Below are 12,862 nucleotides of genomic sequence, written 5' to 3'. Positions count from 1 at the left end.
TAAAAAAATGTTAATAACAAAACTAAATTTAAAATATCATTTTCCTTAAAAATAATAAATAAAATGTAAACATTATAATAGCAACAACTCTTGACTACCATATCCCTAGCACCTAGAAAAATATATAAAATTATACTCAATAAATGCAGACCAGGCACAGTGGCTCCTGCCTGTAATACCAGCAATTTGGGAGGCCAAGGTGAGAGGATTACTTGAGGCCAGGAGTTCAGGACCAGCCTGGACAACATAGTAACACTCTATCTTTACGAAAAGTAAAAAATGTAGCCAACCAGGCATGGTGGCATGTGCTTGTACTTGGTGACATGTACTTGGGAGGCAGAGGCAGGGAGGAGGATCACTTGAGCCCAGGAGTTTGAGGCTAAAGTGAGCTGTGATCATGCCATTGCTCTCCAGCCTGGGTAACAGAGCAAGATCCCATCTCTTTTTTAAAAAATTATGTTTAATAAGTATCTATAGAAATAAAGAACACACAATTAGGTATTATGCTGCAAGAAGTTAAAACTCTCTGAACACATGGCAATCATTAAAAAGTCAGGAAACAACAGGTGCTGGAGAGGATGTGGAGAAATAGGAACACTTTTACACTGTTGGTGGGACTGTAAACTAGTTCAACCATTGTGGAAGTCAGTGTGGCCATTCCTCAGGGATCTAGAACTAGAAATACCATTTGACCCTGCCATCCCATTACTGGGTATATTCCCAAAGGACTATAAATCATGCTGCTATAAAGACACATGCACACGTGTGTTTATTGTGGCACTATTCACAATAGCAAAGACTTGGAACCAACCCAAATGTCCAACAATGATAGACTGGATTAAGAAAATGTGGCACATATACACCATGGAATACTATGCAGCCATAAAAAATGATGAGTTCATGTCCTTTGTAGGGACATGGATGAAATTGGAAATCATCATTCTCAGTAAACTATCGCAAGGACAAAAAACCAAACACCGCATGTTCTCACTCATAGATGGGAATTGAACAATGAGAACACATGGACACAGGAAGGGGAACATCACACTCTGGGGACAGTTGTGGGGTGGGGGAAGGGGGGAGGGATAGCATTAGGAGATATACCTAATGCTAAATAACGAGTTAATGGGTGCAGCACGCCAGCATGGCACATGTATACATATGTAACTAACCTGCACATTGTGAACATGTACCCTAAAACTTAAAGTATAATAATAATAAAAAAGAAAAAGAAAAAAAAAACCCTCTGAACACAAACTCTGTATTTTTTACTTTCTCTCTGTGGAGCACTTAACTGTGCATGCTGGGGGTAAGAAGGTAGACCGGAGAGTGAATGAAGTATACGACAGATGAAATGACACTGTAATTTTCAAGATAGCTTAAAATTTTTGCATTTCTTAACCAACTTGTTTAAAGAATTATTTAAATTAGGAAAAAAAGAATGGATTTTTTTTAATATTTTCACAAAATTGGTGTGAATGATAGCCATGATCTAAAAGATTCAAAAATAAATGTTACTGCATTCAAAGTATATAAAATTTGAGTATATTCAAATCAAAAATTGTAAGCTAAATATTTGAAAAAATAAATAAAATTAACAAAAGGAAAAAAAGAGTGATTCCCCATTTCTCCACTGATAATGAGAAAAACAGTCCATTTCTTTTTCTTTCATTTCAAGAGGAGGAACGGCAGCTAATGAAGCACAGAAATTGATAAAGATTTGCTCAGAAATTTCAGTTAGAATCTGCAGAGCTAGGATTAGGTAATGCCCACGTACAAACCCCAATCCTGTGCTCATTTACTACCCTCAAGACCCATATAATTCTAAATCACTTGATCAGTCAGTCCTCTTACAACTTCTCATTGGTGAGGCTGGATATTGAAAATGTTTATTATGGCACTTTCACTCGAAAATCTTCCCACTTGGAAGAGGCCTTCAAAACCATAGTACAATAACCTTATATTCTATGTACTCATGGATAATGTGTGTGTGTGTGTGTGTGTGTGTGTGTGTGTGTATTAGAAAGAGAGAGAATATAGAAGCAGCATGAAAGTACAAATCGGTCTGGTGCAGTGGCTCACATCTGTACTTCCAGCACTTTGAGAGGCCAAGGCAGGAAAATCTCTTGAGCCCAGGAGTTCGAGACCAGCCTGGGCAACATGGCAAAACTCCATTAATACAAAAAATATGAAAATTAGCTGGGCATGGTGGCACATGCCTGTAGTCCCAGCTACTTAGGAGGCTGAGACAGGAGGGTCATTTGAGCCTAGGAGGTGGAGGTTGCAGTGAGATGAGATTGTGCCATTGCACTCCAGCCTGGGTGAGAGTCTCAAACAACAACAACAACAACAACAACAAAAGTATAGGTAAAGGTGGTAACTGAGAACTCTTGTCACCCAGAGAGGGTGTGAGCTAGAACACTTAGGTGTTATGTCACTTAGAGTTTGTAATGTTTGCTTATATTTTAGAAAAAATGCAAACCCTAAAAGCAAAGTGAAGATAAAACCCAAACAAATAAAATCAAGGGCACTTTTTCTTTTCTTTTCCTTTTTTGCTTTTTTAGTTCAACATTTATACCTTCCACATACACTTCTGTATGTAGTATTTTTAATTGAAATTAAAATATCATTAAGGCACAAAGCATACCCCTTAAACTTCCAAATTAAAATGGTTTACAGAATGTATGTAAGTTATTTCAACCCATATTAAGAAAAACTAATAATACATCAAAACTATAAAATCTTATCTTTTGATTAGCCAACTTAATTTTAGGGAATATAATGTAAATAAATAACTGCAAGCAAAATGATTTCTATAAATATGCTCACAGCTCATGACAATTGAAAACAAGGAGAATTTTATCTAAGAATATGAAAAGATTTAAGCAATAGTGGAATGATGCAAGACGTATAAAAATAATATTTAAAACTAAATAAAAAATAAAATAAAATCTGGTTGCAACTTTTTATTACCTGGAATAATTTAATGCTTAGCAAAAACCAAGAATGAAATAATGCTATTTGATAAAAGCAGAATACAAAATAATGGGTTCCAAAACACCTAAAAACATAGGATAAATGTATTTTTAGGCAGTATATCTCTGTTTTGTCCCACCAAACCCATGGCTGAAATCATCCCAAAAGCAGCGACAGGGGAATTCCCACAAGGGAGGACCCCAAATCATCATGAGATGGGGTTGGTTGGGATACCATAGAATAAAGCACTAAATGTCAAGGTGATCTGTGCAAAGCATCTATTAGGGGAAGTTACAGAGGGCTGCAGCAACACTCACGATGGACAGCCAGAGAAAAGGAGCATTTGACCTACATATGTCCACGGCCAGGGGGTCAGAGATGGAGATTTTATGAGGGTTTAAGGAATCTGACTTAGGGCTGGGGCTAGTTTATTTCAGTGTTTTGAGCAGCAACCTAGATACCTTTATCAGTGACTGGAAATGTTCAAGGCTGGGGTTTGGGTAGAGCCTGCAGGGGAAAAACCTGTAGCTGGGCGGGTCACAGAGCGGTCAAGGCCCTCTGCGATTTTCAGCCAATACACAGAAAGAAAGCCAGGCACTGGGGAACCCTACAGTCTCATATTTTAAAATAATATCATTAATATGTTTTTCTTCAGACACTTTTTCAGGTGAAGTATTTAAAGCAAAGGATGTAATTACTAATTTGAAAAAAATTTACAATACAGAGTACTCATAAGGTCTAAAAATAATTATATCTATTGCTTTAAATTTAGAGATGTTTCACTTGAAAACATGTCTCAAGATTGAGTAAAAATATAGAGCATATTACTTGAAAATGTAACCAACATACTGTTTAAAAATAAGTTTAGCCTGTTTCCAGACTTTTCAGATATCCTATAATATGAACACATTAATTACCATCATCTAAAAACATGCAAATAACGTTAAGAAATTTCAAAGGAAAATCTGACAGGTTACAAATTACTAGAGCTTAATATCAATAAGAATTTTCCCTATAATTTTGTGTAAGTACACAATGCTAAAAGTCAGTAAGCCCTGCTCCGTAAACCATCATTTGCTCCACTTTTTAAAAGCTTGTGGAAACAGTGTCTGTCAATAGATGGATATCCAAATTCACAGCAGCCTTACTCTCAACAGTCAAAAGGTTGAAGCATCCCAGGTATCCACTGATGAATAAATGGACAAACAAAATGTAGTATATCCATATAATAGAATGTTATTCAGCCATAACTTTGATACATGCTACAACACGGAAGAACCTTGAAAACAGTGTTCTAAGTGAATAAGTGAGACACTAAAGGACAGAATAGGCAAATACATAGATATGGTAAGTAGAATAGTGATTACCAGGGGCTAGAGGGAGGGGAGTTATTGTTTAAGAGGTACAGAGCTTCAACTGGGGATGATGAAAAAGTTCTGGAGATGATGGTAGTGATGGTTGTACAACAATGTGAATGTACTTAATGCCACTCAATTGTACACTTGAAAATGGTTAAAATAGTACATTTTATGCTATGCATATTTTCCCACAATTTTTTAAGTTAAAAAATAGTGGAAATATCCTAGCTTATCATGCCCATCCCTTGTTATGCAGTTGACACTAGCTGCTTAATCTGATTATAAAGAAGCGTGACAAAAGATGCACATTACCAGACTGTGAAGACCTCCAGAGTAAAGCAATTCCCCTACCATCTATGCTGTGTTTCCAGCCATTTCTTTGAATCTTCTGACATGTCATCTCAGATTTCCTCATAAACAATATACTCAATTCAACAAGTCATAATTTACTCTGTGATGCATATTTTACTGAAATTGTATGTCTTGGGACACAGAAGAGCAAAGTAAAAGTTATTTTTGGCTCTGGGCTTTATATTGTTTTTTGAGTTTTTTGTGTTTTTGAGACAGAGTATCACTCTGTCTCTCAGGCTGGAGTGCAGTGGCCTGATCTCGGCTCACTGAGACCTCTGCCTCCGGGGCTCAAGTGATTCTCCTGCCTCAGCCTCCTGAGTAGCTGGGATTACAGAAACGTGCCACCACACCCAGCTAATTTTTGTATTTTTAGTATAGATGGGGTTTCACTATGTTGGCCAGGTCTTGAACTTCTGACCTCAAATCATTCACCCATCTCGGCCTCCCAAAGTGCTGGGATTACAGGCGTGAGCCACCACGCCCGGACAGTCTAGAAAGTTTTATCTTCACTTTGTACATGAGGAAACTGAGAGTCAAAAAGGTTAAGAAAGTTGTTGAAGTTCGCATAGCTAGTAAGAAATATAGTAAAAGCACACTCATGACTGTCTGAAAGAAACCAAGCTGTTTTCATTACCTGATTAAAAATATACAGAAAAGTGACCATGTTACCATAGTGTTTGCATTGCTGCACCCAAAGAAGGAAACTTTGGATATTATTAGATGTAAATCCTAAATATGTGAGAAGCCGACATCAAAAGCTCGGGGAATCCCAAGGTCAGGAAGATAGGTAAAGTTGAATGAGAGGTTGTTGCAAGAGTAAAGTTGGATCATATAATTCCAAATTATGATAATGAGGAAGAGAGATATTATAGGGCAAGGAGCATCAGAATAGATTTAAAGAAATCAAAGCAGTTTCACTGGGAACTCACTAACGAATGCATACTTTAAAATAACATACCAATAACTATAAGGAACCAGGCTAACAACATCCAGGATGAACTGAGCTTGGTGGGGGAAAAATGGCAAGAAAAATCAAGAATTTGAATATATCCAAACATCTAAAGATATACTCATAGGGCAAGAAGAAGCAAGGGCTGATGCCATAATGTTAACACAAAAATGAGAAAATAACAGAGAAATTTAATTTCCATTTTATTTTCTCTATCAAGAATAATCTTGAAGTCCCAGATAGAAAAAAAAAAGAGATAATAAGAAAGCATCTCACTATTTTAAATATATTTAAGCCTATAATCCCAGCACTTTGGGAGACCAAGGCGAGAGGATCACTTGAGCCCAGGAGTTCAAGACCAGCCTGGGCAACATAGTGAGACCTCATCACAATAAATAAATTTAAATATCCACGGTCATACAATGTACATTCTGTATGTCAATTCAAAAAAATTTTTAAATATGTATAGAAAAGAAACCAGAAGACAATTAGTAGAAAAAGTTGTCTTGTTGAACATATGCAAAATGGATTCTGGAAGCTGTCAAATACGATATTTCTATAAGTGACTTTGAAGGTGAGTTGATGTGGATTTTTTTTTTTTTTTTTGAGACAGAGTCTCGCTCTGTTGCCCAGGCTGGAGTGCAGTGGTGTGATCACGGCTAACTGCAGCCTCTACTTCCTGGGTTCAGGGGATTCTCTCACCTCAGCCTCCCGAGTAGCTGGGACCACAGGTGTGCGCCACCACACCCAGCTAATTTCTGTATTTTTTTGTAGAGGCAGGGTCTTGCCATGTTGCCCAGGCTGGTCTTGAATTCTGGGTTCAAGCAATCCACCTGCCATGGCCTCGCAAAGTGCTAGGATTACAGGTGTGAGCCACCATGCCCACTGGAGTAGAATTTAAAATTTGGCTCTGCCAGATTTGTAGCCTTAGACTTACACTCATTAATTCTCCGAATTTTTTTTTTTGAGACAGTGTCTCACTCTGCTGCCTAAGCTAGAGTGCAGTGGTGCAGTCTCAGCTCACTGCAGCCTCCACCTCCTGGGTTCAAACGATTCAGGTGCCTTAGCCTCCCAAGAAGCTGGGATTACAGGTGCATAACAGCACGCCTAGCTAATTTTTGTATTTTTAGCAGAGATGGGGTTTCACCATGTTAGCCAGGCTGGTCTCGAACGCCTGACCTCAAGTGATCCACCCACCTCAGCCTCTCAAAAGTGCTGGGATTACAGGCAGGAGCCACTATGCCCAGCCAATTCCTCTGAATTTTATTCATTCACCAACAAAATGGGGATGTTGAACTCTACTTTTTAGAATTGCTGTGACGATTAAGAATACTATACATAAAGGTCGGGCGTGGAGGCAGGCGCCTGTAACCCCAGTTACTTGGGAGGCTAAGGCAGGAGAATTGCTGGAACCCTGGAGGCAGAGGTTGCAGTGAGCCGAGATTGTGCCACTGCACTTCAGCCTGGGCAACAAGAGCAAAACTCCATCTCAAAAAGAAAAAAAAAAAGAATACTATACATAAAACATCTGGCAAAAAGCAAGTGCTCAATCCATGGTAGCCTCTGTTATTATTGTACACTTTGCCGTAAGTGATCTAAGATAGGAGGTGAACTCTACGTAAGCATCTCACTGAAAGATGACCGTTTAACAGCATAAGAGGGATATTTTCCATAGGCCTGTAGATTCTACATATAGCAACAAAATTCTCTAGCAGCACTCTCCACCAATGGAATGTCAGTTTGAAAAACTTCAGTTTTAATAGATCCATAGAGCTCTCTTTTTTATTTTTACTTCTTGCTTTTTTGGTAGTGGCTCAGACCCCAGTATGATACTAGAAACATTGTACATACCTCAAAATAGTATGTAAATCTTGCCCTGAGAACAAAAGAATAATAACACTAGAACAACAGACGCAGCAGGGCACGTAAAATCAATTTGGTTCTACAGAATCTGACAAAAGCCGGAGCAAGAAAAAGAATTAAACCAGAGAATCAAGTAAGATTCCACAGGAATGTTAAAAGTAAAACTTATGACATCTAGCAGGGACATTCCGCCCTCTCCAGCACTGACTTGGCCCCAAGGAGCCTTAGGAGAAAATAAACTCAATTTGGAAATGCAGTGAATGTAACTCTGCTGGTTTTACTCAACAATAGTCTAAGGAATGGGGGCATGTCAGGAAGCAGAGGAAGGACAAAATCCCTCTAATGATCCTGCCCTTCCTCTGGGTTCCTCAGAGAAACAGAAATATTGCCATTTTCCCAGATATTCTGTGCCCTTCATCCTTTCCCTCCTCACCTCTCATGATCACACTGTGAAATTTATAGCAGCTGCTACACCACAATTTTCTGTGGCAGTGTCTTGTGCTATGACTCACGACTCCTGTTTATCAGTTTTGCCCTCAATGTTTCAAGTTCATGGCTCACTTCTGCTACTGACTTTAGTCAGCTCAAATCCTGAGAGTCACTATATCAGAATGAGAATAGGAGTTGCTACAACAAGGTCCAGAAAGCAAGGCTATATTGCTGGAGGCCATAAAACTAAGAACTCATGTTTAATTAATACAACTCAATGCATTCTGCCACCTCACTTAGAGAAGGCTTTAAAAAAAAAAGTTAGTCACAAATGTGGAATGATTTAGAGTTTAGATTCTATGTGGAATTCCAAAGGAGTAAGTGTTCCTTTGGCAGAAAACAAGAATCTGTATGCTTTATATAGGTAGTTATATAGGTAGCTATAAAATTTAGGAACTATATGTTCTCCCCCACTGCTTTAGAGTAACCTCTGGATTTTTCCCAAGGTAAGTTAATATAGTTTAATTCTCAATAAATTGTTCTCTGTGACTAGATCCTACCCAATAAAAGAAAACAGAAAACAATAGCAAAACACAAAAATCAGTATCAAATTAGCACTAACACAAAACTAAGATTTCTTGTTTTCCTTATAGATGTTATTTATGTTGACAAATTAGAATTTGATTGATTTTTATACTAGGCAACCTCAGGATGTCAGTTCCTTGTATTGCCTTGAGATGGTCTAGGACCAATAGCAAGCTCTTTTCCAAGAGATTGCTGGGTGGATAGGAAGGATCTGAGGGGCCTGAAGGAAGTGGAGGCCACCACACACACACACACATGCACGTGCACGCGTGTTTTCTTCCTTATATCCCAACTTTCTCAACATTGCAGTCTGGAACTTATTGGATTCCAGTGAATTAAGGGAAAACTTTTTAAAAGAAGGCATTTAAGCCCTTGCCACAATCACTCTGTCCCCGTGATCTCTATCTTTCCCTCCCTCCCAAGTTCCACTATATAAGGACTGGCACGGTGGCTCATGCCTGTAATCCCAGCACTTTGGGAGGCCGAGGCGGGCAGATCACAAGGTCAGGAGATCAAGGCCATCCTGGCTAACATGGTGAAATCCCATCTCTACTAAAAATACAAAAAATTAGCCAGGCATGGTGGCACACGCCTGTAGTTCCAGCTACTTGGGAGGCTGAGGCAGGAGAAGCGCTTGAACCTGGGAGGCGGAGGTTGGAGTGAGCCAAGATCACACCACTGTGCTCCAGCCTGGATGACAGAGGGAGACTCTGTCAAAAAAAAAAAAAAAAGAATCTGCTGCCTTGTTGTTGGACCTGTAGGTTTCCGGACCTAAGACTTCTTTTAACTAGACCTGTATTTCAGGTCTCATTCCTCTCCAAAACACTCACCATCCTTCTGCCTCCTTGCCCCACATACACACTTACATGCTATACAAGCATCTGGGTTGCTGTAACTGAGGTTTGTTGGGTCAGACAGCATAAGGGTAAAGAGTGGGGAGGGAGAGGGAAGAAGGCAGAAGTAGAAGAGGAAAGAGAAGAAGAGGGAAGGGGAAGAATATAGTATCCCCCCCAAATCACAGATTCCTTCTGTTCCTTAAAAGAGGATACATGATACATTTAAATAGCAGTTTAAAAACAAAAACAAAAACAAAACAAAAACCCTACATTTTCTAAATGTTTGCATTTACCATTTCCTGATTGTCCGTTATCACAAGGAGGTGTGAGTCTCTGGCTAGGCAGAATTCCAGACTAGAATTCCAGTCCTTTTCCTCCACTGAGAAATAATAACAATGGTTACCATATTTCATCCAGCGGTCTGGGCAGCTAGGACAGCTGGCACAAGTGGAGTAGTTGGAGCCTAGGAGAGAAGAGGACCTGGTTCACATCTTTATGGACCACTCAGTCTTGGAAATGAAATGGGAGATAAAATGGAATATGGCAGCCCTGGGTCTTCCCTGCTCCACCACTTTTCAGATTAAGGGTTAGAGAAATGTGTAACAATGCGTGGTGTCAATTTGAATACCTCATAATGTCCTCATAATGTCCAACTCCATCATCTACTAAGTATATATTCCACTACACAAGAATATGACTATAACTGAAGGAACAAAGAAGAAAGCATACAACAATCTGCCTGAAAACTCTGGAGCAAGTACTTGACTTGTGCTAGAGATCTCTGTGCACATGTAATATACACACACCAGATAACTGTGAATTCATATGATATGCATCTGTGTACTGTCTTTGCTCTGTGTATATATTGCATAATTGCATAATGTATATTGCTTAAATCAGGCAGAATCATTCAGAATGCCCAACTGAAAATGCCAAAAAGAAATTAGGAAAAGCAAACTTAACTAGAATGAAAGGTTTTGCTTTTTTATTATCACAGATGTAACTGTCCCTCACCATTGAAAACTGGAAAAAAACCCTTATACCTCAGCAAAAAGAACTTACTTTGATATTTTTCAAAAGGGTTTTCTGGCAGAGAAGCATAACAGGTGCTAAAGTGAAAAGTGATAGAATGCCCTAACCGAGCTCTTTTAAATACGGAAGATCCACATTCCTTTAAAATGGTTGGTTCATAGTTCTGTCAAGATGAAAGGGAACTGACCAGGCATGGTGGCTCACTCTTGTAATCCCAGCACTTTGGGAGGCCGAGGCAGGTGGCTCACATGAGGCCAGGAGTTCAAGATCAGTCTAGCCAACATGGTGAAACCTCATCTCTACTAAAAATACAAAAAAATCAGCTGGGCATGGTGGCACCCGCCTGTAATCCCAGCTACTTAGGAGCTGAGGCATGAGAATCACTTGAACCCAGGAGGCAGAGGTTGCAGTGAGCCAAGATCACACCACTGCACTCCTGCCTGGGCGACAGAGCAAGACACTGTCTCAAAAACAAACAATCAAAGATGAAAGGGAACTGAATATGCTTTCAAGGTAATTCCAACCAAGATTCCAAAATTCTATTGATTTTTCTACTTCAGTTTCAATACTTAAACATATGTGCATAAACTCGCCATAAGCACAATTCTACAGTGAGCAAGTATGAGCCATTATACTCCATGAGCACATGTGTAGATATATAATTGCAGAATAGAGTATATATCTACTCTAGATTTGGGAGTTACAAAGTGGGGAAAGTAGTATTTTTCATATAAATATTAGATAATTGTTCTCTAGGAAGTACTGGCATACAACCAATATAAGTTCTGGAGATCAAGCTGTTAAATTGGCACCTTATAGATTTTGCTTTTTCCATACAACTGTGACATTACTCAGCCTGGATTAGAAATTCCCAACTTCCCTAGGAGTTCCTTTTTGTCAAAGGTCGGACTTGGCTCTGAGGTAGAAGCCCTGGAGCTGAACTCTTAGAATCCTAATAAATCGGCAGAGCGCAATGGCTCACACCTGTAATCCCAGCACTTGGGGAGGCCAAGGCGGGCAGATCACAAGGTCAGGAGTTCGAGACCAGCCTGGCCAACATAGTGAAACCCCGTCTCTAATAAAAATACAAAAAATTAGCTGGGCGTGGTGGCAGGTGCCTGTAATCCCAGCTACTCGGGAGGCTGAGGCATGAGAATCGCTTGAACCTGGGAGGCAGAGGTTGCAGTGAGCCGAGATCACGCCATTGCACTCCAGCCCAAACAACATTGCGAGATTCTGTCTCAAAATTTTTAAAAAAATTTAAAAAAGAACCCTAATAAATCACTTCTGTGTAATCGGTCACTATCATCCCCTAAAAATATAAACCTAAGCTAGGACTCTAGACTGTAAAACAACAAACTGAGAGTCCTCTAGATCACCAGATTTAAGGTCCTAGAAGAACTAAACTTAAAAATTAGTTTTAGAAAATGTGAAAGCACCTGAATGGCAAAAAAAAAAAAAAAAAAAATTCAGAATGTTTCATTACATTATGATATATCTATTATGTGAAAAGTTAAACATCATTAATATTATAATTCAATCATCCCAATAAATATGGCAGTAAGGAAATGTTTCTGGCAACATAAAATTAAAAAGCAATATACAAAATTATGAGCATACTACGATAAGAACTATTCTCAGCCTTGCATTAAAAGAAAGAAAGGTGGGAGAAATTTTAAGAGGACTTGACTGCAGTTCTATTAAGAAAATATGGTCAGGTGCAGTGGCTCACACCTATAATCCCAGCACTTTGGGAGGCCAAGAAGGGCAAATGGCTTGAGCCCAGGAGTTTGAGATCAGCCTGGGCAACATGGTGAAATGTCTTTACAAAAAAAAAAAAATAATAATAATAATACAAAAATTAGCCAGGCATGGTGGTATGTGCCTGTGGTCCCAGCTACTCGAGAGGCTGAGGTGGATCACTTGAGCCTAAGGAGGTCAAGGCTGCAGTGAGCTGTGACTGTACAGTGGCACAGGATCCGCTGGTATAGCAGCACACAAATCTATCACCTACAGCCTGGCTGATTGAGGGAGACCCTGTCTCAAAAAACAAAAAGAAAAAAGAAAATACAAGCTTACACAAGTGCACATGGTCAAAGGCTATACCCAGGAAATAGCTGTATACAGATGGAGAGTTATTTTGTTTGAATTATTTTTTGATTTTTCAAAGCTTCTGCTATGTTATATTGCTTTTATAATATAAAATGAAAGATTAATTTTGGTTTAAGTTTGCACTTACCCTGGCACAGGATCCACTGGTATAGCAGCACACTCAGAAGAACTGCAGTCAGAAGCCCCAAAGCTATTGCCACAAGGCAAGAACAAGAAGGCCTGGAAGAGGAAGCTGCAACAACAGAGTCAAAGCACAATCCTGAGTCAGATGACAGGTTGAAAGAAAAGAGAAAGTCAGGGAAGGATATCGCATCTTAAAGCAATTTGGCCTAGTGGGAACTGAGATCCAGGCCATAAAGATTCCTTTTCTA

General features: G+C 39.2%; 1 protein-coding gene across 13 annotated transcripts in view; it reads right to left on the bottom strand.

Annotated features, from left to right (window-relative positions):
- The window catches only part of KLRG1 (killer cell lectin like receptor G1), a 265,527-nt gene that overhangs the window by 210,642 nt on the left and 42,023 nt on the right, over nucleotides 1–12,862 (bottom strand). For 10 of the 13 annotated variants that reach the window (XM_047428075.1, NM_001329102.2, NM_001329101.2 and 7 more), the window contains 2 exons: nucleotides 12,619–12,723; nucleotides 9,641–9,810 (listed from right to left, as the gene is read on the bottom strand). The exons of 1 other annotated variant lie outside the window; for it this stretch is intronic. In XM_047428075.1, coding sequence (XP_047284031.1) covers nucleotides 9,641–9,810; nucleotides 12,619–12,723 — 275 coding nt within the window. The remainder of the gene's footprint in view (nucleotides 1–9,640; nucleotides 9,811–12,618; nucleotides 12,724–12,862) is intronic. 2 more of the 13 variants (NR_137426.2, NR_137428.2) reach the window with 1 other exon arrangement.

This window comes from Homo sapiens, chromosome 12 (assembly GCF_000001405.40).
Source record: "Homo sapiens chromosome 12, GRCh38.p14 Primary Assembly".
Lineage (NCBI taxonomy): Eukaryota > Metazoa > Chordata > Mammalia > Primates > Hominidae > Homo > Homo sapiens.
Note: the sequence above shows the minus strand (reverse complement) of the source record. Positions and strands in the feature narration are given on the sequence as shown.